We start from the raw sequence: 27367 nt of genomic DNA on the forward strand, positions 1-27367 counted from the left end.
TGAAAGTGGTACAAATATTAGAGATTTATTATTACAGAACAAGATGGAAGTTGGCAGTTCCAGGGTTTGTCCTGTCAATTAACCAAGGCATCCCGGAGACTGGACTCTTCCTGTACCCACTGCCACGCTCAGTGTGGCAGTGCCTTCTCCCCTCATCATGGCAGGGAGGCCACCACAGCTCCAACAACCAAGTCTTCACATGGTCAGCATCCCAAGCATGAAATAAGGGGATGTGGTTAGAAAGGGCTTTTCTCCTTGTGCAGCCTTCCCTTTACAAGCAAGAAAATCTCTCCTAGAAGTCCCTAGTAGGTTTCCTTTCAGCTAAAACTTGGGTCACAGGCCCATCCCTGAACCTGGCACTTCCAACCTGTAACAAATGAGGCAGAAGTGGGACTAGGGCTGGCTGCTGGGCAGCTGACCGGTAGTGCCCACCACAGTCTGGGAGCCAAAGAGTTCCAAAAGTTCCTCACTCAGGCCAGGGGTAATTGAGAAACAGGCACATAACAGTATTCATCCAGGAGTCCTCAGGTTTTTTAAGAGTTTTTTAGTTTTTTTTTTGTTGTTGTTGTTTTGTTTTTTTTTTTGAGATGGGCTCTCGTTCTGTCGCCCAGGCTGGAGTGCAGTGGCGTGATCATGGCTCACTGCAGCCTCGACCTCCTGGGCTCAAGTGATCCTCCCACCTCAGTCTCCCAAAGGGCTGAGATTACAGATGTGAGCCACTATGTGCCTGGCTAAGAGTAGCTTATTTTTATTTTATTTTATTTTATTTTTTTGAGATAGAGTCTTGCTCTGTCGCCTAGGCTGGAGTGCAATGGAGCGATCTTGGCTCACTGCAACCGCCCCCTCCCGGCCTCAAGCAATTATCCTACCTCAGCCTCCCAAGTAGCTGGGATTACAGGTGTCTGCCACCATGCCTGGCTAATTTTTGTATTTCTGTAGAGATGGGGTTTCACCATGTTGGCCAGGCTGGTCTAGAACTCCTGACCTCAGGTGATCCACCCACCTTGGACTCCCAAAGTGCTGGGATTACAGGCGTGAGCCACCACGCCTGGCCAAGAGTAGCTTTTTAACCTAGGTCAGTATCGTGTTGGTAAAATACGGAGAGAGGATGTTTGAGCAGAAGGACCTACCTCATCTTCTCACCTGTTCTAGGCTGCTACCTTCTCTTTCTACAAACCAAAGGAGGGGGCTCATAACTCAATGGGCCTTGTGGGAAAGGCTAACCAGACTAGTCACTGCTGAATTCCTCTAAGGGATTCCCCTACCCTGACTGCCCTTGCCACAGTTGCACCCACCATCCTAGGGGCAGTAAGTAGAGAGAGCTGTGTGAGAAGAGCACTCTTTCCACTCCAGATGTCCCCTACAACCTATATCCTCACGGCCACTAACAGTTTGGGCCCGTAGCATCACTCATCTGGACCGCTCCCATGTGGTCTCCCCATCACAACAAAGACTGCAGCAAGGTGGACAGAGAACTCCAAGAGAGCCAGGAAAATACCTTTATAAACCATCACAGAAAGCCTGATTTCCACTCGCTAAATCCATTAATAAAGAGAGGAGAAATTTTAAAATTCCAAGGCACCTGGTTACTAATCTGATTCTGGCCTACATGTGGATATTCAATAAATACTTGTTAAGTTAAATTGACTCAAGGTTTTATTTATTCAGCCTACTTAAAGCTTATGTAAACCCCTTGGAGATTTGTGTCAAGCTGTTAAGTTGGAAAATATAAGAAAAGTAGTATTTTCAATAGACCAGCTTTCCTCTTAATGTACTTTATGAACTTAGTGTAAACCAGGGAAATGGGGGAGGGGTACCAGAAGAGCAGAGGGGAAGGAGGTGAGGAGGAAGGAAGAGGTGAGGAGGAAGGAGAAGAAAAGCCTTTTCTGTCATTTCCTGCATTTGTCTTAATTGCTGTACTTATTAACCAGCTACTGCCCTCTAGTGCTCACTGTATTAAGTTCGCATCTGAATTCCATTTTTATCTTTAAAAACTCTGGTGACACTTGGAAGGGATCAAATTTCCTGTTTTGCAGATAAGCAAATTGAAGTCCAGAGGAAAGAGGTATCAAACTGACCCAGGGGACTTCTGGACTCTTTGTTACCTCACCTATAACTTGTCTGGAAAACTTTATTAAAAGCCTTTCTCAGAAATTTTAATTGGTAACCAGTAAAAATTGTAGCATCATGTTAGTGCTAGTTATTATTATTATTATTTTTGAGACGGAGTCTGGCTCTGTTGCCCAGGCTGGAGCGCAATGGTGCAATCTGGCTCACCGCAACCTCCGCCTCCTGGATTCAAACTACTCTCCTGCCTCAGCCTCCCAAGTAGCTGGAACTACAGGCGCCCGCCACCACGCCCGGCTAATTTTTTGTATTTTTAGTAGAGGCGGGGTTTCACCGTGTTAGCCAGGATGGTCTCGATCTCCTGACCTCGTGATTTGCCCATCTCGGCCTCCCAAAGTGCTGGGATTACAGGCGTGAGCCACCGCGCCTGGCCTGTGCTAGTTATTATTTCCAATGTTGTTCTAAATTAAGCTTAGACTGATTGCTGGTCAATTTAAGTAAGGATATAAAATAATAGTGGTACATTTTTAACTTAGTACAAGTTTAGAAAATGTCTATAATACTTCTTTAAAAAGTTAACTAGAGGCCGGGCACGGTGGCTCACGCCTGTAATCCCAGCACTTTGGGAGGCCGAGGCGGGCGGATCACAAGGTCAGGAGATCGAGACCATCCTGACTAACACAGTGAAACCCCGTCTTTACTAAAAATATAAAAAATTAGCTGGGCGTGTTGGCGGGCGCCTGTAGTCCCAGCTACTTGGGAGGCTGAGGCAGGAGAATGGCGGGAACCCAGGAGGCGGAGCTGGCAGTGAGCCGAGATCGCGCCACTGCACTCTAGCCTGGGTGACAGAGCAAGACTCTGTCACACACACACACACACACACACACACACACACACACACACAAGTTAACTAGAACAGATCCCAAGTGGATATGGCCATTTATCAGAACTGACTTATCATTGTCTCCATGTGGGCTAACATTCCGCTAGATTCTCCCAAGTGAAGCTCTTTGCTCACTGATGGGAAAAAGGGGGGGTTGTCATTTTAACGTGGAACGCATATTTTCACCACATAATCATTTTGCTAGTGGAAATAAATGGAAAGTTATCCAGCTGGACATGCTACTTATGAGAACACTACTGAGTAACAAAAGATTTATTCAAATATTTAATTGGAAGGAACTACATCTGGAATAAGTTTTAAAGGAATCCATATAAAAAGAAAAGCAAATCCATTAGAAATTGATATAAACAGTTGATTTTATCTGGAACCAAGAATGTGAATGAATTGGAACCTAGATGTCCTAACCTGTTTCTTTGCATAAAAGCCAGTTGAATTTTGAAATTTATATGGCAATTATACTTTATTACTTTACATAGAGCTTTGTTTTTAGCTAATATTTTAGAGACAGATTACCCAAAATTACCTAATTTGGTTCCCACTTCATTCCTTCTCAAAAACCAAACATAAAACAGAAGGGGGCCAGCTGTGGTGGCTCATGCCTGTAATCCCAGCACTTTGGGAGGCCGAGGAGGGTGGATCACTAGGTCAGGAGTTTGAGACCAGCCTGACCAACATGGTGAAACCCCGTCTCTACTAAAAATACAAAAATCACCCAGGTGTGGTGGCACATGCCTGTAATCCCAGATACTTAGGAGGCTGAGGCAGGAGAATCGCTTGAACCCAGGAGACGGAGGTTGCGGTGAGAGCCGAGATCGTGCTACTGCACTCCAGCCTGGGCAACAAAGCAAGACTCTGTCTCCAAAAAAAAAAAAGGAAAGCAGAAGGGGGCATTTTCCTGTCTTCAAAATACAACCTCCTGCTAAGACTAGCAAGTCAGCAGAAACTCATTGCATTTGGGCTTCTGGTTACTAAATGAATTAAGAGACACCGAGTTCCATCCTTAGATGTCCACATAGATCCCATTGATCAAATAATCCAGTCTTGAGTAACGTTTCCTGCGGAGTGATTCCGAGAGGATTCTACCCAGGAGGACGAGGCCTATCACCAGGAACAGGACACCAAAGAGCAGGGACCCGATAAGAAGCCATTTTTCAAATGGAAGGCCGTACTGATTTTCTGGAACACTGCCCTGGGAGGAACTGCCTGGACTGGCCTCCCTACCTTCCCAGGAAGCAGTTTTATTCATAGTGGAAGACTCCACATTTGACATAGAAAGTGCAGTAGGGTTATACACATTCCCTGTGTTCAAAGTTAGGTTGGAGATTTCTGTAAACGGTATGGTTTCTAAGCTGCCTTTCGAGTCCGTAGGTGCCTGAAAGGTGGTAGTCAGAACTGCTGTTGTAGCCATTGCTTGGAGTGTAGCCGCAGCCCGTGTAAAAACTGTAGAAATGAGGGTCGTGGGAGGCTGAGAAGTGACAGTGGTTACAGGTGGAGCTGTGGTGGCCAGCTGTGGCTGGGAAGTCCCAGAAGGTGTCACTGAAGCATTGGTGGGTAGAAGGGTGGCGGGCTTTGGAGTAGCCGAGGTGGTATGTGGAGAAGCAACTGCCACCGTAGCTGGGAGCGCACTCACATTTTCAGGCAGCAGATGAGCTATTTCTTGATCAGAGGAAAATTGTGAACTCTGAGAATGGCCTTTTTCCTTATAAGCAAGGAGCTGGGCACTTGCTTCATCCATCTTAAATAGTTTCTCCAAGTGATCTGAGGATCCAAACTTCTGAGAAAGTGTGTCTCTCCATGAGATATCGGTGGGCTTTGAATAATCTGTGTGATGATGGGCTAGGGGAGTGACTGCTTGTGAAAATTGGCCATGTAAGAGAGAATCTTCCTGGGGTAACTCTTGGCTTGGCAAATTTCTGGTCAAAGATGGAAAATCTGAAAATGTATGGAAAATAAAAGGAAGGCTTATGTAACTCCATGCTACGGTAGGTTAAAAAAATACAAACATATCAGCTTGTTCAAAAGATCCCTAAACTGGTTGGCCATGGTGGCTCACGCCTATAATCCCAGCACTTTGGGAGGCTAAGGCAGGAGGATGGTTTGAGGCCAGGAGTTGGAGACCAGCCTGGACAACATAGGGAGATCCTGTCTCTTAAACAAAAAAATCTCCAAACTGTTGATACTTGACATTTCATTGAAATGTGTGCAAAATGGAAAAACACAAATTGCTAAATGAGAATCTGATAACGCCGCCTCTCTACCAGATGCTGTGGTTTATTTCTAGCATGATAGGACAGAAGAGAAGAGAAATGTGTGGAGGAGGACCAGGCAAATTAAGGAAAAGGTGGGAGGTGCACAGCAGAGAAGCCGGAGGGGCTCAGCAGGGCAGCAAGAGGCTTACAAAGATGGAAAGGGTTCTCCGTCTTCCTAAGGGGCCAAGGCCAGGGAAAAAAGTGGGCCGGAGGGTGACCTGAGCAGGAAAGGTTGGCAGGGAGAATGCGGGGGAAGGTGTGGGCTTCTGCAAGACATGCCACCTAAGACTGAGATGACAAATGGGGAGCAAGTAATCATCAGGAGAGATTTCAGTGGGGGCATGAGGCAGGCAAGAAAGGTATGTGGAAGCTGTGGGAAATGAGGCAATAGAGCAGGAGAGAGGGAGCAGAATCCCTGTGGTGTGTCTCTGACAGGGAGGAGGAGGAGGGGCCAGGCAGGGTCTGGTCTCCGCTCTGAGCACTGAGGCCACAGCAGCAGCAGAACAGCAACAACGACAACAAAAAACCAGAGATATATCGTTCCAGCACTGTGCGCAGAGGAGGGAGGCTATCTGGGAGATTTCATTTGGACTCTCAAAGATTAGAATTTTGGAGCCAATGTCATAGGTCATGAGGATGATGGGACCAATATTTGAAATCATGATGACCACACTGTAGACACAGAGGGCAGAAAAACCATACAGTCCCGATGCCTGCTGAGGAGAAACCAGCCCCAGATCCTGCTCCTGCTCCATGAAGCTTAGAATTTTTCTCCTGATCACACACCCCATTTATCACAGCTCAAACTGGAAAGACCTGTTCAAGCAATCAAGTGCAGGGAATGACCAGGTGAATTGCCATGTATCACTCTGCTGCTAGGCTAACCATCTCACATTAGAACTGCAGAAAACACAAGGAAAGAAGCAGAGGAATGTCCTGGCATTTCTCAGTCCACTCACTCCTGCTCTCTTTTCCTTTTTCTTCCTCAATTCACCTCCATGCCAGTTTCCAAACTGGTCCTCAGTCTCCTCTTTCCTACAGACGGATCCAGAGGCAGCTACGGATTCATGCCATCTCGTGACTACTCTCTAAGCCTTACCCCTCTGAGAGGTTCTTTGCACTGTCACTCTGTCACTTATTCGTCCATCTAGGACAGGGCTCAGCAAACTACGGCCTGATGGACAAATCTGGCCTGCCATCTGTCTTTGTATGACTTGCAAGCTAAGAATGGTTTTTACGTTTTTTAAAATTTTTATTTGTTTTGAGACAGAGTCTCACTCTGTCGCCCAGGCTGGAGTGCAGTGGTATGATCTCGACTCACTGCAACCTCTGCCTTCCAGATTCAGGCGATTCTCCTACCTCTGCCTCCTGAGTAGCTGGGATTACAGGCGCGTGCCACCACACCTGGGTGATTGTTCTATTTTTAGTAGAGGTGAGGTTTCACCATGTTGGCCAAGCTGGTTTCAAACTCCTGACCTCAGGTGATCCACCCCCTTCGGTCTCCCAAAGTGCTGGGATTATAGAGGTGAGCCACCATGCCTGGCCAGTTTTTATATTTCTTTTAATGGCTGAAAAATAATCAAAAGAAAATTGTGTGACACAGGAAAGGTATACAAAATTCAAATTTCTGTATTTCAAAACCTAAAGTACTGGTGTGAAAAGCCTAAAATACTATTTGGCCCTTGGCAGAAAAAGTTGGTGGACATCTGCTCTAGGATATAGTATTCTACTCTAAAGTAGAATTTGGGTCAAATGAAATATATTTGAAAATATATATATATATATTTTTGAGACAGGGTCTTGCTCTGTCACCCAGGCTGGAGTGCAGTGGCACAAACACAGCTCACTGCAGCCTCAACCTCCTGGGTTCAAGCAATCCTCCCACCTCAGCCTCTTGAGCAGCTGGGGCCACAATGCCATGCCACCATGCCCAGCTAATTTTTGTATTTTTTGTAGAGACAGAATTTTGCCATGTTGCCCAGGCTGGTCTTGAACTCCTGGAATCAAGCAATCCGCCCACCTCAGCCTCCCAAAGTGCTGGAATTACAGGTGTGAGCCATCATACTTGGCCTATAATTCATTTTAAAGTTAAAAAAGAAAAAGACTGTTTAAGTAAACACTCTGTGATGTGTGTGAAATCAGAACTTAAATATGGCCATTGACAAGAATGGCCAAAACAGCTGTTTTCTTTCTCAAGCATGCAAGCTCATAAATAAAGCAAAGCTAGGGCCAGTCCCACTTCTTGATAAGATTCCTCTGTTGGCAGAGGTCCTAGAACCACAAAGGGATCCTCCACACCTGCTCCATTCGCCTCACCCACTCATGTTTGCCATTGGGGCATGGTGCTTCCTCTCAGTCACGCAGAGATGAGCCACAAAGGGAGCTGCAAAGCAGCTCAGCGCCCTTAACTCCTCTTTGGAGTTTTATTTTCAAACGACTTCACTGAGTTGAAAAATGAGAGACTGACTATTACTGGGACCCCAGCTGAGCAAACAGACTCCCAATTTATTCTATGTCTGAATTCTCCTATTCTTCCAGTCCTTGGTAAAAATGACATGCCATGAAGCTGCCAACAACAACAATAAAAGATTAAATACCAAACTGCAATGGCTTTAGAGAATGAACAGAATCCACTGTCATCTTTCAAACTCTTGGTCCGTAAATATTAGTCAATGGGATATAGGAAATAGAGGCTGGGCACGGTGGCTCATGCCTGTAATCCCAGCACTTTGAGAGGCCGAGGCAGGATGATTGCTTGAGGCCAGGAGTTTGAGACCAGCCTGGGCAACATACTGAGACCCCCCCATTGCTACAAAACATTTTAAAAAATTAGCCTGGCATGGTGGTGCATTATCTGTAGTCCCAAATACTTGGGAGGCTGAATGGAGAGGACTGCTTGAGCTCAGGAGGTGGAGGCTGCAGTGAGCCATGATCGCGCCGCTGCAGTGAGCCATGATCGCGCCACTGCACTGCAGCCTGGGCAACAGAGTGAGATGCTGCCTTAAAAAAAAAGAAAAAAAAAAAGAGAGAGAGAGACAGAAAAGAAAAAGAAATAGAGTTCTTCCAGAAACAAACCACCAAACAGATAATCTGTATTTAATTTCACTCCAGGCAGGAGGCAGATAATTCATTTTTAATGGGGTAATATGAATTCATCAACATGGACAGATTCATACACAGAATTACAAACACAACTTGCACACATCCTGTAGATATAAACAGTCCTTTGCATACTATGTCCGGGGTTGGTGCCACGTTGCCCCTAGGTGTCCATCAACCTGCTCAGGGGCCGGCAACGCCCCCTGGTGGCTGCCACAAGAACAGTTTAATTCTAATTTCACTTCATTACCTTCACACTCGCCCTAAAAAGATTTATGCACATGCCAAGTTCCCTTTTTTCCGTTCCCATTGGCAAGGAACTTCATCCCATACATGCTCTTTTATATGTGCATTACAAAAGTAACAACACTCCAGAAGTATTAGAAAACAAATTCAGCTGTAATTTCTATCATCGTATCCTAACAACAATTATTTACACAATACTCTGTGCTTCACGCTCCTGTTTGAGAGGATGTTTGACCCATCAGGCTTCCCTGGCACATGAACAAAACTCAGACACAGCCTCAGCTAGGGGGCAAAGCAGTGTCAACACGCAGGCACCCTGGGCAGTATCATTCCCCGAAGCCCCTCATACTTAATGCAGTCAAGAGAGAACCCTAGATTCCACTCCACCTAGATTCCATTCCACAACCCTAAAACTACTCAAGTTTCCCCCAGTGCAGCAAATGGTGTCACCATTCATCTGGATGCTCAAGGCAAAAACTAGGACTTGGCCTTGATGGTTCTTTTTTTCTGGTTCCCCAGACCCACACCACCAGCAAGTCCTGTCAACTCTACTTCGGAATAGCCCATATGTCCACTACTCTCTCCATCTCGCCCGCCACTCCCTGTTTCTTCACCCAGATCTCACCTGCGCCTCCTAACCAGTCTTTCCATTTCCACTTTGCTGCTGTGTCACTGTCCATTCCCAAGAGGGCGGCTACGGTGAGCTTTGAGAAATCACCTTTTTTTTTTCTTCTCCCCGAGACAGAGTCTTGCTCTGTCGTGCAGGCTAGAGTGCAGTGGCGCAATCTCAGCTCACTGCAACCTCTGCCTCCTGGGTTCAAGCAATTCTCCCGCCTCAGCCTCCTGAGTAGCTGGGATTACAGGCACGCACCAGCACACCCGGCTAATTTTTGTATTTTTAGTAGAGACGGGGTTTCACCATGTTGGCCAGGCTGGTCTCGAATTCCTGACGTTGTGATCTGCCCGCCTCAGCCTCCCAAAGTGCTGGGATTACATACATGAGTCAGGAGGTCAGGAATTTGAGACCAGCCTGGCCAACATGGCGAGACCATGTCTACTAAAAATACAAAAATTAGCCAGGCATGGTGATGCTTGCCTGTAGTCCCAGCTACTCAGGAGGCTGAGGCAGGAGAATCACTTGAACTTGGGAGGCAGAGGTGGCACTGAACCGACACTGCATCACTGAACTCCAGCCTGGGTGAAAAGAGTGAGACTCCATCTCAAAAAAAAAATAAAAATAAAACTCCCAACAGCTTCCCACCACACACCTAAAAACTCCCGGCCGGGCACGGAGGCTCATGCCTGTAATCCCAGCACTTTGAGAGGCCGAGGTGGGTGGATTACCCGACATCAGGAGTTCGAGACCAGCCTGGCCAATGTGGTGAAACCCTATCTCTACTAAAAATACAAAAATTAGCCACGTGTAGTGGCATATGCCCCTCCTAAGGCGGAGGTTGCAGTGAGCTGAGATCGCGCCACTGCACTCCACCCTGGGCAACAGAGTGAGACTCTGTCTCAAAAACAACAACAACAAACAAAAAAACTCCCTCCTATGACTTACAAGGTGTTATGTGATCTGGCCCTCCCCACCGTTTTGCATATCACTCTCTGCGTATTTCACAATGAGTCAACCAGCTGGGATTGGAGTGTTGGTTTTTCAAACACTCCAAAGCATTCTGCCTGAGGACCTTGGACTTGGAAGGTCTTCCCCTGATCTCCTCACATCTGGCTCCTCACTATTCAGATCTCAGTTTAGGGGTTACAACTTTACTTACTGATTGTCTATTATACCGTCCTGTCTCAATTCTGTGCATAGCACTTGTGACTATATTTTTCTTGATTATTTATTTATTATGGTTATTGTCTCTCTCCCCTAAAACATAAGTTCCAGAAGGGAGAACCTTGTTTTCCTATTTTTTTTTTAGAGATAGTATCTCACTTTGTCACCCAGGCTAGAGTGTAGTGGCATGAACACAGCTCACTGCAGCTTTGACCTCCTGGTCTCAAGGAATTCTCCTGCCTTGGCCTCCCAAGTAGCTGGGACTACAAGCTCATGCCACCATGCCCGGCTAATTTTTTTAATTTTTTGTGGATATGAGGTCTCATCATGTTGCCCAGGCTGGTCTCTAACTTCTGGGCTCAAGTGATCCTCCCACCTCCCAGAGTGCTGGAATTATAGGCATGAGCTACCACATGGCCAGAACCTTGTTTTTCATGTTTAGTGTTGTTTCCTTAGGGCATAGAAAGTACTTGGCACATAGGAGATGCTAAATAATATTTGTTATTTATTGAACAAATGAACAAGTAGAATATTAAAAATCAAGAGTATGATGATAACTTTCTAAAACTTAAATAAAAGAAAAATTGAAGCTGGGTGTAGTGGCTCACGCCTGTAATCCCAGCACTTTGGGAGGCTAAGGAGGGTGGATCACCTGAGGTCAGGAGGTGAGACCAGCCTGGCCCACATGGTGAAACCCCATCTCTACTAAAAATACAAAAAAAAAAAAATAGCTGGGCATGGTAGTGGGTGCCTGTAACCCCAGCTACTTGGGAGGCTGAGGCATGAGAATTGCTTGAAGCCAGGAGGTGGTGGTTGCAGTGAGCTGAGATCGCACCACTGCACTCCAGCCTGGGCGACAGAGTGAGACTCTCTCTCAAAAAACAACAACACTCATGCCTGTAATCCCAGCACTTTGGGAGGCCAAGGCAGGCGGATCACGAGGTCAGGAGATTGAGACCATCCTGGCTAACACGGTGAAACCCCATCTCTACTAAAAGTACAAAAACAAAATTAGCCGGGCGTGGTGGCGGGCACCTGTAGTCCCAGTTACTCAGGAGGCTGAGGCGGGAGAATGGCCTGAACCCGGGAGGCGGAGCTTGCAGTGAGCCGAGATCGCACCACTGCACTCCATCCTGGGCAACAGAGTGAGACTCCATCTCGGAAAAAGCAAACAAACAAGCAACAACAACAACAAACCCCACTAAATTCTGTAATTCTGATTTTATGCAAATACTGTCTATGAAGGGTCCACAGAATTACCTAAGCAACATTAATTTGTTTTCACCTTTTTTATATGGATAATCTCAAAAAAAAGAAAAATTGATACTGAAACCACTTCAACTTGAAAAATTAACAAGCCAAAGTCTCAGCAAAACATATCCCAGGAATTATATTAATTTTTTTGCTATTTATTTTCCATTCTGAATTAATATGTAAGTTCCATGAACATGGAGATTGTAGTTCTAGTGCTTTGGACAGAATCTGGCACATGGTAAATGTTTAATAAATATTTCTTGAATGAATTTCCTTTCCAGTCTAGACAATAAAATCCAGTGAGTTTGATTTCAGACGAGATTGGGTGCGTTCAGGGTGGTATGGCCATAAAAAGTTTGATTTCAGATAATGTGATTATAATGGGAACTTAATAACAAATATACTAGAACTTTCTATATTAACACAAGTCTTCACCCTTTCAAAACAATCACCCTGGAGACCTGTATACTTATTCCAGTGTTGCCGACCTTGTTCTAAAGAGGTGCTTCAAAAACGTTTCATACAAGGTTTGTGTGTCTTTTATCTCATGAAGGTAAAAACAGAAACAAACCAGAACAAATACTACCATGGCTTTCATTGGAAATCAAATTTTGGTTTAATAAATTGAATTTCCAGTCATGAGATTTTCTGATATGTCTGGTACCCCTTCTGGTAGTTTTATTTAGACTCTTGTAGAAAATCTTTCACATGAACCAGTCTTAAATTATTCCAATCACAAAAGAAAAAGTATAATGCTTTCATTACCTGTAATTATCCTGTAACTCATAAGTCCTTTTGCTGGTTTCAATGGACAGGCTTCCTCGTTGGGACAGAAAAATAGGTAGCAGTTGGGTTGTCTAGCTGTTTTTCGAGTGTCGAAGATCATCAAGTTACATGCTTTGTCCCCTGCAATGAAAGGTTTCATAAGCATGATTTTGAAATGCGATTTTCTAAAGAGTAGGGCAAGTAGGAAAAACTTCACTTATTATGGAGTCCAACACAAACACCTTTGTTCATTTTGTTCACTTGCTTGCTGACCGCTGAATCATTTCCTTTTCCTTAGCTTAGTTGCTTAAGGCAATTTTAAAAAACATTGGGTTTAGCTTTTTTTTTTTCACAAGGTGGCACCGAAGGCGAAGAAGGAAGCTCCTGTCCCTCCTAAAGTCAAAGCCAAAGCAAAGTCTTTAAAGGCCAAGAAGGCAGGGCTGAAAGGCATCCACAACCACACACACACAAACACACACACACACACACACACACACACCCCTAAGACCTGCATGTCACTTACCTCCAGCAGCTCAAGACACTGTGGCTCCAGAGGCAGCCCGAGTATCCCGGGAAGAGTGCTCCCACATGTTTGACCACTCTGCCATCATCAAGCCCTGACTACTGATGTGCTATGAAGATAGAAGACAACCACACACTGGTGTTCACTGTGGATGCCAGGGCCGGCAAGCACCAAAGAGGCTGTGAAGAGGCTCTCTGACACTGATGTGGCCAAGGTTACACCCTGAGCAGGCCTGATGGAGAGAAAGAGGCATGCGCTCTGCTGGCCCCTGCCCACAATGCTTTGCATGTTGCCTACAAAACTGGGATTATTTATTTTTTTTATTTTTTATTTTTTGAGATAATGTCTTGCTCTGTCGCTCAAGCTGAAGTGCAAATGCAGTGGCATGATTTCAGCTCACTGCAACCTCCACCTCCCAGGTTCAAGAGATCCTCCCACTTCAGCCTCCCGAGTAACTGGGACTACAGATGCAAGCCACCACACTCGGATTTTTTTTGGTATTTTTTGTAGAGATGGAGTCTCTCTATATTGCCCAGGCTAGTCTTGAACTCCTGGGCTCAAGCTGTTTGCCCTAGTTGGCCTCTGAAAGTGCTGGGATTACAGGTGTAAGCCACTGCACCTGGCCATCTCTTGGATTCTGAAAGCATCTCAGATGCCTAATAAAGCCATGAGTGGAGTCAGTAAATTATCATAGATATCATGGCTCCTTCCACACAGGATCTGAGTAGTATATGGAATACAGTCTATCTTTTAATTTTTATCTGTACCATTCTTTGTGTTTTTCTTCCAATTACCCCTCTCTCCTTGTCATATTTGCTTTTCTATGTTCCTTCCTTCCTTACTTTTCACTGTTAACTATAATTTCTGGTCTCTTTTCTTTTCTTTTTTGAGTCAGGGTCTTGCTCTGTCATCCAAGCTGCAGTGCAGTGGAACAATCATGGCTCACTTCAGCCTTGACCTCCTGGGCTCAAACAATCCTCCCACCTCAGCCTCCCCAGTAGCTGGGACTTCAAGCGTGCACCACCATGCCTGGCTAATTTTTTGTTTTTTGTAGAGGCGGGGTCTCACTATGTTGCCTAGGCTGATCTTGAACTCTTGGGCTCAAGCAATCCATCCCCCTCAACCTCCCAAAGTACTGGGATTACAGGCATGAGCTAATGCACCCAGCTGCTGGCTTCTTTTTCTGTTCCTCTTGTGTCCAACAGAAATTAAACCCTCTATTCATCATGGCCTAGATTTGATTTTGTCCTCCATTTGGTACAGTCTCACATCTTTGGGAGGTCAGCGTATCCCTGGTCAGGCTGAAGGTTAAGAGACACATAGGCTAATTGTTAAAAACATACGCTCTGTCGACCATCACCACCACTGGTGCTAGTCAGGCAATGGTGAGAGATCAACTCCAACTCCCGAGATGGGAAGGAAGATTTAGTTAGCCTCTGCAGGAGTTTTATCACGTCATATCCCCATTACTCAGATAATAACAGGAGTACTCCTGCTTTTCCTTTCTCAACAATGTGATACCAGAAATACCTTTCTTTTTAGCACTTAGGTAAAGGGGAGGGTCCATAAGCTCAAAATTGTATGCAAGATATTGTGCCCATCGTGTTATGTGCATTTTTCTAGAGTATCATCGAGTTATCATAGTGCCTTTTGAACCCTCGGTGGTTAAACCATTTCTCAGGAAGTGAGGAAAATGTTTGAGATCCATTAACTGAGGTTCCAAGTACCTCTGCTTGTAGCAAAGCAGTAATAGGACTTTGGCTTCTAGAATAAAACAGCAAACCCTCGTTTCTTAGAATTGAGGAGCAGGGCTTTGCTGATGCCTGTAAATACCACACTTACAGTATTCAGTCCTGCTTGCAGGTGATGTTTCTATTTCACATACATGTTGATGTCAACATTTAAAGAAAAACTAGAAATTTAAATTAAACCTCTGTCATTTCCATAAATTACTTGCATAAAGTGTCCCAAAGCACACTGCTCAATGAGACCATCGAAGGGATTTTTCCTCCTGACCCCAAGTATACGGTGTCTTCTCCACACCATTTTGCAGCAATAACCACATATCCTACTATTGAGTTCAATTCTGACACCAACTATCCAGAGCTGGCATCAGATTCCATGGATTATGGGCTCGGTATCACAAGACTGCCCTCATTTCAGAAGCCAGTAGCAAGTATCAGGTCTCCAGGTCACCCACACTTCTGCCTGACTCGGCTACTGCTAATTCAGGGATTCCCATGATCCTACCCCCTCAGATTTGATAATTTGCAAGAACAACTAATAGAACTAAGGAAAATGCTGTATTTACTATTACAGTTTATAATAAGGGATACAAATGAACAGCCAAAAGAGGCTCCTAGAGTCCCAAGTGCAGGAGACTTTGTCCCTGGGGAACTGAGGTGCATAATTCTCTTGACACTGGGATGTGTTCACCAACTTGGATGCTTCCCGATCATCTAGGGGTTTTTATGATGGTCTCATTTTACACAAGCATGATTGATTAAGTCATGGGCCACTGTGACTGAACTCAATCTCCAGTCCCTCCCCTGAGGTGAAGCCTCACTAGCACAAACTCAAGTATAGTTGAAAGGGGCTGGTTATGAATAACCAAAGACATGCTCCCATCTCTTGGGAAATTCCAAGGTTTTTAGGAGTTCTGTGCCAGGAACTGGAGACAAAGATCAAATATGTATCTTTTGAGACAAGGTCTTGCTTTGTCACCCAGGCTGGAGTGCAGTGGTTCGATCAAAGCTCACTGTAGGCTGGGTGCGGTGGCTCACACACTTTGGGAGGCCAGCACTTTGGGAGGCCAAGGTGGGAGGATCATTTGAAGTCAGGAGTTCAAGACTAGCCTGACCAACATGGTGAAACCACGTCTCTATTGAAAATAGTAAAAATTAGCTGGATGTGGTGGCGAACACCTGTAATCTCAGCTACCCGGGAGGCTGAGGCAGGAGAATCACTTGAACCTGGGAGGCAGAGAATGCAGTGAGCCAAGATTGCGCCACTGCGCTCCGTCCGGCCTGGGCAACAGAGTGAGACATCATCACAGACAAACAAACAAAAAAGTCCACTGCAGCCTCAACCCCCTAGGATCAAGTGATCCTCCCACCTCAGCCTCCCAATAGCTGGGACTACATGCGTGCACCAGCACGCCTGGCTGATTTTTTACTTTTTACAGAGAACAGGGTCTTGCTATGTTGCCCAGGCTGCTCTCAAACTCCTGGGCTCAAGCAATCCTCCTGCCTTGGCCTCTCAAAGTTCTGGGATTACAGGAATGATTCACCACACCCGGCCATTCACTAGCTTTTCTAGGCAACTTGATGGCAAGGCCTTGTCCATCTTATTCACTGTTTTCTCTCTGGCAACTAACAAAGTGTTAAGTACTCAAGAAATTTAGTTTTTTTCATTTAGAGAACTCGGACAGGGTCATAAGTAAAATTGAAAAAAGGTTTTACTAAAATACACAGTATACTTCTCTTTTCAGTACAAATACTTAAATCCTAAAATATGCAAGTCCTGGTTCAAACCTATGGGTCTCAGTTTCCTCCTGTGTCATGAAAATGGGCCAGACTAATTGATTCCCCATCCCATTAGAGTTCTAGAAGCTGTAGTTACCTAGTAGTCAGTGTTTTTTTGTTTTTTTTTTTTTTTTTTTTTTTTGACTTATCCTATGCCACCAGCTCCAAGGAAGGAGACGAAGTGGAGGTTTTATGCTTCCAACTTAAAGATCAAATGCTGATTTTCCCAAGAGATAAGAATTCTATTTTTTGTCTCAACCCCTTTTCTCTGTTTACATTTTCTTTGTAATATCACACTGTATTCCAATACTCCATGCTGATGGCAGCTAACCATTTCAATAGGATTTTTGTTTTCAATATTCTAGATACCAGTTGGGATATAACACCAGTGATTCTCAACCTCTTGTCTACCCAGTCACCTGAGGGATATATACATACATTCATCAATAACTTTGACTCAGCTTAGGAGAGGGGAGGGCACACTTGTAGAAAATTCTCCAGTGATTTTGTCACTTATATTCATACCCTGTCGAGAATCACTGGTATAAGTTATTCAGCCACATCCCCCAGCTCCTGAAGCCACAAAACACATGGAACAAAGGATTGCCAAGAAACCACTATTTACCTGATATGTTTTTTGTTGAACAGCAAGAATTAATGCAGTCTTCTTGAGTTGAAGTATATACGGGCTCATTGCCTCTGATTCCCTTAGAAAGAGATGACTGGATGTCAATGACAACATCTTCTAGACTCTTTTTGAGGCAATTCTGACTAGCAGACAGCCTTAGTGTCAGGAAGCAAATTATTACCAAAGTGTAAGTCAAGCTCCCTTCTCCCCCGAAGAACATTTTAAATTTCAGTTTAGTTTTGGTCTTCAAAGGTCAAGGATAATCCTCCCTCTGGTCTTAGTTTGCTTTAAGAAGGCTGCACAGATGATGAGATTTCTCTCTAGAACAAAAATGGAAAATCATCAATGAGTTTTGTTTCTTTAACAAACAAGGGAAGAAACATTTCATTTCCTTAAAGTCAATGAAAAGGATCCACATACAATTTAGAGAAGAAAAGATACACGTATTTTTTGTTTCACTTTTAGTAAATTTAAGACAACTTTTCATTAAACATTTGGCAAAGAACTAATAAGCATAAACAAACATACTACCTCACCAATGCTTAAAAGCTGACAATGCTTATGAAGGAACAGGTATAAACAGTAGGCCTGCCTCGGAATTCTACAATCCTTCCCTCTTCTAACTCAGAGCGGAGAGGGCACACATTTCTAGTCACTGATGAAGCAGTAGTAATAGGTTTGAGCATATTTCCTTTCTCAGTAATAACAATCAGCATTTTAAAATCATCTACTAGGGGCTAGGCGTGGTAGCTCATGCCTGTAATCTCAGCACTTTGGAAGGCTGAGGTGGGTGGATTGCTTGAGCTCAGGAGTTCAAAACCAGCCTGGGCAACATGGTGAAACCCTGTCTCTACTAAAAATACAAAAAATTAGCTGGGTGTGGTGGCGCATGCCTGTGGTCCCAGCGACTTGGGAGGCTGAGGTGGGAGGATCGCTGGAGCCCAGGAAGTTGAGGCTGCAGTGAGCCGTGATTACACCACTGCACTCCAGCCTGGGTGACAAAGCGAGACCATGTCTCAAAAAAAACTTAAAAAGTAAAAATAGGTGACAATATACTAGATGGTAGACATTGTGCTAAGGAATTTACCACTCTTTTGAATTGTTATTCTCTTTAATTTATTACCATCTTTAATCTTTATACCAACTGTAATGGCTAATACTGAGTGTCAACTTGATTTGATTAAAGGATACAAAGTATTGATTCCGGGTGTGTCTGTGAGCATGTTGCCAAAGGAGATTAACATTTGAGTCAGTGGGCTGGGAAAGGCAGACCCACCCTGAATCTGGGTGGGCACAACCAAATCTGCTGCCAGTGCAGTTAGAATATAAGCAGGCAGAAAATGCGAAAAAGAGAGACTGGCCTGGCCTCCCAGCCTATATCTTTTTTTTTTTTTTTGAGACAGAGTATTGCTGTCGCCAGGCTGGAGTGCAGTGGCACAATCTCGGCTCACTGTAACCTCCACCTCTTGGGTTCGAGTGATTCCCCTGCCTCAGCCTTCCGAGTAGCTGGGACTACAGACGCATGCCACCACGCCCGGCTGGTTTTTTGTATTTTTAGTAGAGACGGGGTTTCACTGTGTTGGCCAGGATGATCTCGATCTCCTGACCATGATCCGCCTGCCTCGGCCTCCCAAAGTGCTGGGATTACAGGTGTGAGCCACCACGCCCAGCCCCAGCCTATATCTTTCTCTTGAGCTGGATGCTTCCTGCCTTCAAACATCAGACTCCAAGTTCTTCAGTTTTGAAACTCCTTGCTCCTCAGCCTGCAGATGGCCTATTGTGGGGCCTTGTGATCATGTGAGTTAATACTTAATAAACTCCCATATATATATATATATATATATATATATATATATATATATATATATATATATTACACTAGTTCTGTCCTTCTAGAGAACCCTGACTAATACAACAACCTTGCAAAAAAGCTATTATTGGCCGGGTGCGGTGGCTCATGCCTGTAATCCCAGCACTTTGGGAGGTCAAGTCACGTGGGCGGATCACCTGAGGTCAGGAGTTCGACACCAGCCTGGCCAATGTGGTGAAACCCCATCTCTATTAAAAATACAAAAATTAGTTGGGTGTGATGGCGGGCAGCTGTAATCCCAGCTACTCGGGAGGTTGAGGCAGGAGAATCACTTGAACCCGGGAAGTGGAGGTTGCAGCAAGCCACGATTGCACCACTGCACTCCAGCCTGGGTGACAAGAGCAAAACTCCGTCTCAAAAAAAAAAAAAAAAGCTATTATTTTCCTCATTTTATAATGAAGAAACTGAGATAGTCTTTCCTATTGCTGCTTCTCCTTAAGAAGTATCAAATCAGAGTTAGAAAACTCTAATAATCTAATTCTAGAAATTAGCCAGTCAGCAGGAGGAATACGCTGCCTCAGTTAAAGGAAAGTTTAGGGGCAGGTTTTCTTTTTGACAGCCTTAAAAATACAAAAGTCACACTATGTATAATGCCAACTCTATTGAGATGCTGGTTCTTTTAGGAAAAATAAATGTTAAACTGGCAAGACAATACAAGAAATTATCCTCACCTATCAACCTCCACATTTCCTTTTAACATTTCATTAAACATTTTGTTGAATACAAATTGTTTGCTGAATGATAGCTTAGAGCAGAATTACTACTTCTTTAACCTTTGTTTATTAACCCCTTTGATAGTCTGAGGAAGCTCAGGATCTCTTTTGTGAGACATATTTAAAAATGCATAAAATGGAATATGTAGGATTCCAAAGGAAGCCAGTTATAGTGAAATATAATTACCAAAATAGATTTTAGAATGTCCCTACAAAATCCTGGTGAAAGAAATCAAAGAGGAGCTAATAAATAGAGAGATATAACATGTTCATGGATAGGAAGACTTTATTTTGTTAACATATCAGTGCTTCCTGGCCAGGCGCCATGGCTCAAGCCTGTAATCCCAGCACTTTGGGAGGCCGAGGCAGGCAGATCATGAGGTCAGGAGATCACAACCATCCTGGCTAACACGGTGAAACCCCGTCTCTACTAAAAATACAAAAAGTTAGCTGGGCGTGGTGGCGGCCGCCTGTAGTCCCAGCTACTCGGGAGGCTGAGGCAGGAGAATGGCATGAACCCCAGGCGGAGCTTGCAGCAAGCCGAGATTGCGCCACTGCACTGCAGCCTGGGCGACAGAGCGAGACTCCGTCTCAAAAAAAAAAAGGTATCAGTGCTTCCCAACTTGAGCTACAGATTAAATACAGTCTTAATCAAAAGCCCAAAGTTATTTTTTGGATATCAACCAACTGATTTTAAAATTTACATGGAAATGCAGAAAAGACCAAGAACAGTCCAGAATACTAAAGAACAAAGTTGGAAGACTGATACTACCTGACTTCAACACTTACCGTAAAGCTACAATAATCAAAAAAGTATGGTATTAGAAAAAGAATAGACAAACAGATCAATGGAATGGAATAGTAAACCCAGAAATAGACCCTCACAAAGAGAGTCAACTGATCTTTGACAAAGGAGCAAAGGGGATTCAATGGAGAAAGGACAGTCTTTTCCAAAAATGGTACTGGAACAACTGGATATCCATTTGCAAAAATGAATAAATAAATAAATCTAGCCACATACTTTACACCTTTCACAAAATTTAGCTCTAAATGGATCACAGACCTAAATGTAAAATATAAAACCATAAAATTTCTAGAAAATAACAGAAGAAAATCCTTGTGACCTTAGATTAGGTGATGAGTTTTTAAATACAATACCAAAAGCACACTCCATGAAAGAAAAATTTGATGTTGGACTTCATTAAATTTAAAAACTTCTGCTCTACAAAAGATACCGTTAAAGAGAATGAAAAGATAAACCACAGACTTGGAGGAAATATTTGAGGTGGTTTTTTTTTTTTTGGAGGAAATATTTGTGAAACACACATCTGATAAAGCAGCAGTCCATAGCCTTTCTCGCACCAGGGACCAGTTTCATGGAAGACAATTTTTCCATGGACGGCGTTGTGGGGGTATGGTTCAGGATGATTCAAGTGCATTGTATTTATTGTGCACTTTATTTCTATTATTACATTATAATATATAACGACATAATTATACAACTCAACATAATGTAGAATCAGTGGGAGCCCTGAGCTTGTCTTCCTGCAACTAGACAGTACCATCTGGGGGTGATGGGAGACAGTGACAGATCATCAGGCATTAGATTCTCATAAGGAGTGTGCAGCCTAGATCCCTCACATGTGCAGTTCACAACAGGGTTCGTGCGCCGATGAGAATCTACGGCCACCACTGATCTGACAGGAGGTGGAGCTCAGGCAGTAATGCATAATGTAAATACAGAGGAAGCTTTGCTCTCTGGCCCACTGCTCACCTCCTGCTGTGTGGCCCATTTCCTAATAGGTACTGGTCTGCGGCCCAGGGGTTGGGGAACCCTGTGATAAAGGACTGGTATCCAAAATATACAAAGAACTCAAGTCAGCAATAAGAAAAGAAACTCAATGGACAGAAGATCTGAGCAGACACCTTATCAAAGAAGATATACAGATGACAAATAAGCATATGAAAAGGTATCTAACATCATATGTCATTAGGGGATTGCAAATTCAAACAAGATACCACTACCCACCTATGAGAATGGCTAAAATCCAAAAAATGGACAATACCAAATACAAGGACATGGAGCAACAGAAATTCTCGCCTGGGCGCGGTGGCTCACATCTGTAATCCCAGCACTTTGGGAGGCCAAGGTGGGCAGATCACTTGAGGTCAGGAGTTTGAGATCAGCCTGACCAACATGGTGAAACCCCATCTCTACTAAAAAAAAATACAAAAATTAGCCAGATATGGTGGCAGGTGCCTGTAATCCCAGCTACTTGGGAGGCTGAGGCAGAAGAATCGCTTGAACCCGGGACGTGGAGGTTGCAGTGAGCCGAGATCATGCCACTGCACTCCAGCCTGGGCAACAGAGTGAGACCCTATCTCAAAAAAGAAAAAAAAAAAAGGAAAAATTCTCATTCATTGCTGTTGGGGAATGCAAAATGGTACAGCCACTTTGGGAGAAGTTTGGCAGTTTCTTACCAAGCTAAATGCAGCCTTACCATACAATTCAGCAATTGTCCTCCTATGTATTCACTCAAATGAATTGAAAACTTATGTCCACACAAAAATCTGCAATAGAATATTTGTAGTAGCTTTATTCATAATTGCCAAAAACTAAAAGCAACCAAGATGCCCATCAATAGATGAATAAACAAAATGAGATACATCCATACATTGGAATATTACTCAGTAATAAAAATAAATGAACTATCAAGCCACAAAAAGACATGGAGGAATCTTAACTGCATATTCCTAAGTCAAAGAAGCCAGTCTGAACAGATATGAATCTAACTGTATGACGTTCTAAAAAAGGCAAACTACAGCGGCAGTAAGAAGGCCAGTGGTCACCAGGAGAACAGGAGTGGGAGGATGAATCGGTGGAGTGCAAGGGATATTTGGGGCATTGAGACTATTCTGTATAACACTGTAATGGAGGATACATGTTATTGAACATCTGTCAAAACCCATAGAAATGTAAAACACACAGAGTGAACATTATGTGAACTATGGACTTTTAGTTTTAAAAAAAGGTAAAACCAAAAAAAAAAAAAAACCCAGAAACAAACCAGTATATGGTAATAAAACACAAGTCTAATACTTTTCTTGCTGTTTGTCAAAATTCTGTATACAGTAAAATAGTAACATTTATTGCGTCTAAAATGCCAGTTTCTATGCTAAGCACTTTATATATATCATGTCATTTAATCTTTACAGATCCCATTATTATCCTCATTTTAGTTAAAACTTACAAAAAGTTGTGGGACATAATATGTGCTTCTTTATTAACCTATTAAGTAACAAGTGGTCATCTAATAACTGCCATAATTTTGACGTGGTATTGAGTATAGATAATATTTTGAAACGTGCAACAAGTCATGTGATATAAAGATATCGGCAATATTTACAGGGGGCAAATCATAGCTACTGCTAATACTACTGTGGCTTTTGCCTACATTCCATTTCAGAAGTCGGTGAAATAATAATTTTTTCCACTCAAGTTCACAGACATCCTGAATTCTATCCATGGATACCTTATCGTGGACTCCCCAGGTTAATAATTCTGGCCAAGGTACTTAATACGCTGCCATATTTTGCAAGCCTCTAGGGAATCAAGAGAAAACCAGGCCAATACTTTATTTTGAATGGATTCTAATGTAGCCTCTTTTCAAGCTTTTGCAAAGAAACCTGAACTATGTAAGGAGATGGGGCAGGAGTTGTTTTCAGTATGCAGCATTGAGAGAAGTGTTTAAGAGTTTTATATCATTAAAGAGGCTCAGCAATATTAGGTTAGCGACGTTTTCTAATCCATTATTATTTAGGCTTTAAGGGCCTGAAGTCGAGTTGAATCTTGTTGAAAGACGGGGTAAAAGGATACAGGCGGGTGAGAGAGGATGCCCCTGAGTTTTAACGTCTGCATACAAGAGTCGCTAAAACTTACTCGCACGTAATTAGTTCAAATATTGGAAATCGTCTTACAGCACACTATAATTTACCAAGATGCTTATAACTGTATACACACACACACTCTACAGAGAATTAGACAATTAGCAGTTTCAATAATGAATACAGAGTCAACGACAAGAAAACAGGGAACATTTTCTCTTCCTTTGAGGAAATGCATGTTGCCTACTGAGCTATTCTTCTGCCTCTCCTTCTGATGTCAACGCAGAGCCAGAGCCATTTATGGCAGGTGCCTTGAGCCCGCCTAGAGGTCCCCTTTGGAATACTGCAGCGACTCAAGGATCCTGGTCAGCCCTTATTGGCCCCAGCTGGTCCTTTGGATGCTCGGGTGTGGGTGAAGGAGCCTCGGCCCCTGGAAAGGAGGGGACCGACTCTCTCCGCAGGTAGCGACGTCGCCTGCGGCCGGTCGGGGGTGGGTATTGGGGAGACCCCTTTACCTGGCGTCGAGAGGACCCCGGCGCCCCTGCTGCCATCCAGGTGCGAGGACAGCTCTGTCGCGCCCGCGGGAAGGACCGGCGAATCCGCGCGGGGGTCTCGGCGAGGACCGCAGCGGATGCTCCGCAGCTCCCGCACCGGCCTGGCGGGTTTTGTGGTTAGCAAGTTCCTGCTTCCGTCGCAGCGACGGCAAGTTTGCCGCGGGGGAAGGGCACGTTCCTGCCCTGCAACCCGGAGCTGCTTCCCGGCAACATTAGCGCGTCCCTCCCCGCGGAGGCTCCGGGCTCCCGGCCCCAGCGCTGAGCCCCGCAGGGAGGTGGCTCCCCCCACCGCCCCGCGCTCCCCCCCAGCTCAGCCACACCGCTGACCCCGGGCTGGGCGCGCTGCGAGGGGGAGTGCGTGCCTCCCTGCTGGTGGCCCGAGGGTCTGCAGGTGAGCCTTGCCTCGCGGCCCGCGCAAGTTAAAATAAATGCACATGGGGAAAATGTCAAACAGTACAAAAATAGACACAGAGACAAGTCTACCCCTCACCCCCGTGCCCCAGTCTCCTAGTCTCCCTCCTCAGAGGCAACCACTGAGAGCAGTTTTTTGATGTTCAAGGGCTTATAGTGCATCCTATTGGGGGCATAGTTCTGAGAATCCTCTTTCCATAATTGGAGGATGGAGTCCTCAATTAAAGATGGCAATTCTTGAGTTAAATATTATCTGCAAGACAAACTTCAGGGAAGGTATTTGGCTTTCTGCGGGATTTATTGTTTGTAGATAGGATAATAATGGTGAAAATGCTGGTGTCTGTAACATATATTAAAACTGTATCCCTAACACTTAGCATAGTGCCTGGTACACAATAGGTGCTCAGTAAATATTTAACTAAAATATTTTTGTTGACTGAATGAATGGAAAAGAACTGCATAGGGCATAGGTTGTGGAAGTTTCTAAATTACTGCTGGCCCCATCCCCACCTCCATAAACACACACACAAATGCAACGTTACTAAACCATTGACACTTAGTTTGCCATATGGTCTAACCTTTGACAGTATCTTCACCTCTGTTTTGAAAGAGCTTGCAGACCTGAAGCGCTATGCAATTGCAAGTTAAGTCTAGGCCTGTACGGCCAACAGCTACACACCCTAGTCTTAACCAATAACTACAGGAGGATTAGGTTGACTGAGAATGCTTGTGAACAAAGGTCCATTGTGTGAAACTAACTCTACTTGTAACCAAAGGATGACTCTTGAATTACAATGTTGCTAAAGCTAGGTTTGAAAGAGTTACCAAAGAAAAGTAAACACCAGAGTAATTTCCCATTGCAGTGATTTTCCTGATGCAACAAGGGACTGATCTGCAAGTGTGTTTTATCTTTTATCATCTGATACACTTCAGGGTTCAGGGTGTAGAGCTATCACAGTTTTTGAATCTCTCTACATGGGGTAATCCATGCTAGTTACAAAGTAGACCTTTCCATTATTAGAAACTTCGTATTCGGTGCTTTAATACAATGAACCTGTTTCTTTTTTTGTTTTGTTTTGTGTTTTGTTTGTTTTTAGAGACGGAGTCTCGCTGTGTTGCCCAGGCTGGAGTGCAGTGGTGTGATCTCGGCTCACTGCAACCTCCACCTCCCGGGTTATAGCAATTCTTTTGCCTCAGACTCCTGAGTAGCTGGGACTACAGGCACATGCCGCCACGCCCAGCTAATTTTTTTCTATTTTAGTAGAGATGGGGTTTCACCGTGTTGCCCAGGCTGGTCTCGAACTCCTGAGCTCAGGCAATCCGCCCGCCTCGGCGTCCCAAAGTGCTAGGATTACAGGCGTGAGCCACTGTGCCCGGCCTGAACCTGTTTTCATTGAAGTGATATGTTATTTTTTCAGTTATGACAGTGAACAAAGGATATTGATTAAAATAATGATTAAAGAAATATTTTCTATTATATATGTTTAATTTATAAATATCATTGTTTATTTATTCATTTTTTTAGACAGGGTCTCGCTCTGTTGCCCACACTGGAGTGCAATGGCACAATCACGACTCACTGCAGCTTTGACCACCTGGGCTCAAGTGATTCTTTTGCCTCAGTCTCTTGAGTAGCTGGGACCACAAACGCACACCACACCCAGCTAATGTTCTTAATTTTTTTTTTTTTTTTAATTTTGAGATGGAGTCTCGCTCTGTTGCCCAGGCTGGAGTGCAGTGGCACGATCTCAGCTCACTGCAACTTCTGCCTCCCAGGTTCAAGCAATTCTCCTGCTTCAGTCTCCTGAGTAGCTGAGATTACAGGCTCATGCCACCATGCCCAGCTAATTTTTGTATTTTTAGTAGAGTCGGGGTTTCACCATGTTGGTCAGGCTGGTCTTGAACTCCTGACATCAAGTGATCTGCCCACCTTGGCCTCCCAAAGTGCTGGGATTATAGGCGTGACCCACCGTACCCGGTGTTTTAAATTATTTGTATAGATGAGGTCTTGCTACATTGCCCAGGCTAGTCTCAAACTCCTGGGCTCAAGCAATCCTCCTGCTTTGGCCTCCCAAAGTGCTGGGATTACAGGTGTGAGCCACTGCACTTGGCTTACTTAAAAATAAAATAAAAACTTTAATTTCTGGCCTGAGTCATAACTTAGAAATTATATCCATTGTCACTTCATTTCCTGAAGAGATTCTTGACACTCTTCTCTGAGGGTTAGAAGTCCCATCTATGTGGAGAAAGATTTCTTTAAAAGTAATCGGAAAACATGTATTAAGCAGCCAGGCGCAGTGGCTCACGCCTGTAATCCCAGCACTTTGGGAGGCCGAGGCGGGTGGATCACGAGGTCAGGAGATCGAGACCATCCTGGCTAACATGGTGAAACCCTGTCTCTAATAAAAATACAAAAAATTAGCTGGGTATGGTGGCGCGCGCCTGTAGTCCCAGCTATTGGGGAGGCTGAGGCAGAAGAATGGTGTGAACCCAGGAGGTGGAGCTTGTAGTGAGCCGAGATCGAGCCACTGCACTCCAGCCTGGGTGAAAGAGTGAGACTCTGTCTCAAAAAACAAACAAACAAACAAACAAACAAACAAAAAAAAAAACATGTATTAAGCACCTGCAGGGGAAACTAAAGACCAGTAATACCAATGAGATCTACCTTTAAGATGTTCATAGTTCAGAAGGAGAAAAAGTAAATCAATGGCTGTGTAAACAGTTAAGTGTGATGAAGGCCAGGTGTAGTGGCTCATGCCTGTAATTCCAGTGCTTTGGGAAGCCAAGGCAGGAGGATCACTTAAGCCCAGGAGTTTGAGGCCAGCCTGAGCAGCATAGCAAGACTCCATCTCTACAAAAAATAAAAATTAGCATGGTGTGGTGGTACACGTCTGT

At 44.2% G+C, this 27367-nt stretch overlaps 1 protein-coding gene and 1 pseudogene across 2 annotated transcripts, besides 1 other annotated feature; one reads left to right on the plus strand and one right to left on the minus strand.

The window, feature by feature from the left end:
- MANSC1 (MANSC domain containing 1) lies at window positions 1–24187 on the minus strand. Of its 2 annotated transcripts, NM_001363613.2 has the most exons (5): window positions 24023–24187; window positions 17221–17359; window positions 17037–17118; window positions 12365–12505; window positions 1–4903 (listed from the first exon to the last, which is right to left on the minus strand). In NM_001363613.2, exons 2-5 carry the CDS (start codon window positions 17257–17259, stop codon window positions 3972–3974), a joined length of 1194 nt encoding a protein of 397 aa, NP_001350542.1. In that variant the 5' UTR covers window positions 17260–17359; window positions 24023–24187; the 3' UTR covers window positions 1–3971. The 2 variants fall into 2 exon arrangements, with proteins under 2 accessions (NP_001350542.1, NP_060520.2); NM_018050.4 differs by having other exon boundaries at window positions 17037–17359.
- RPL23AP66 (ribosomal protein L23a pseudogene 66) lies at window positions 12721–13199 on the plus strand (annotated as a pseudogene).
- Window positions 24188–24497: a silencer, noted in NCBI's record as "silent region_4252". NCBI's record gives its function as "represses an Ori minimal core promoter by ATAC-STARR-seq in GM12878 lymphoblastoid cells {active_cell/tissue: GM12878}" and the evidence as "EXISTENCE:reporter gene assay evidence [ECO:0000049][PMID:35858748]".

Source organism: Homo sapiens, chromosome 12 (genome assembly GCF_000001405.40).
Source record: "Homo sapiens chromosome 12, GRCh38.p14 Primary Assembly".
Lineage (NCBI taxonomy): Eukaryota > Metazoa > Chordata > Mammalia > Primates > Hominidae > Homo > Homo sapiens.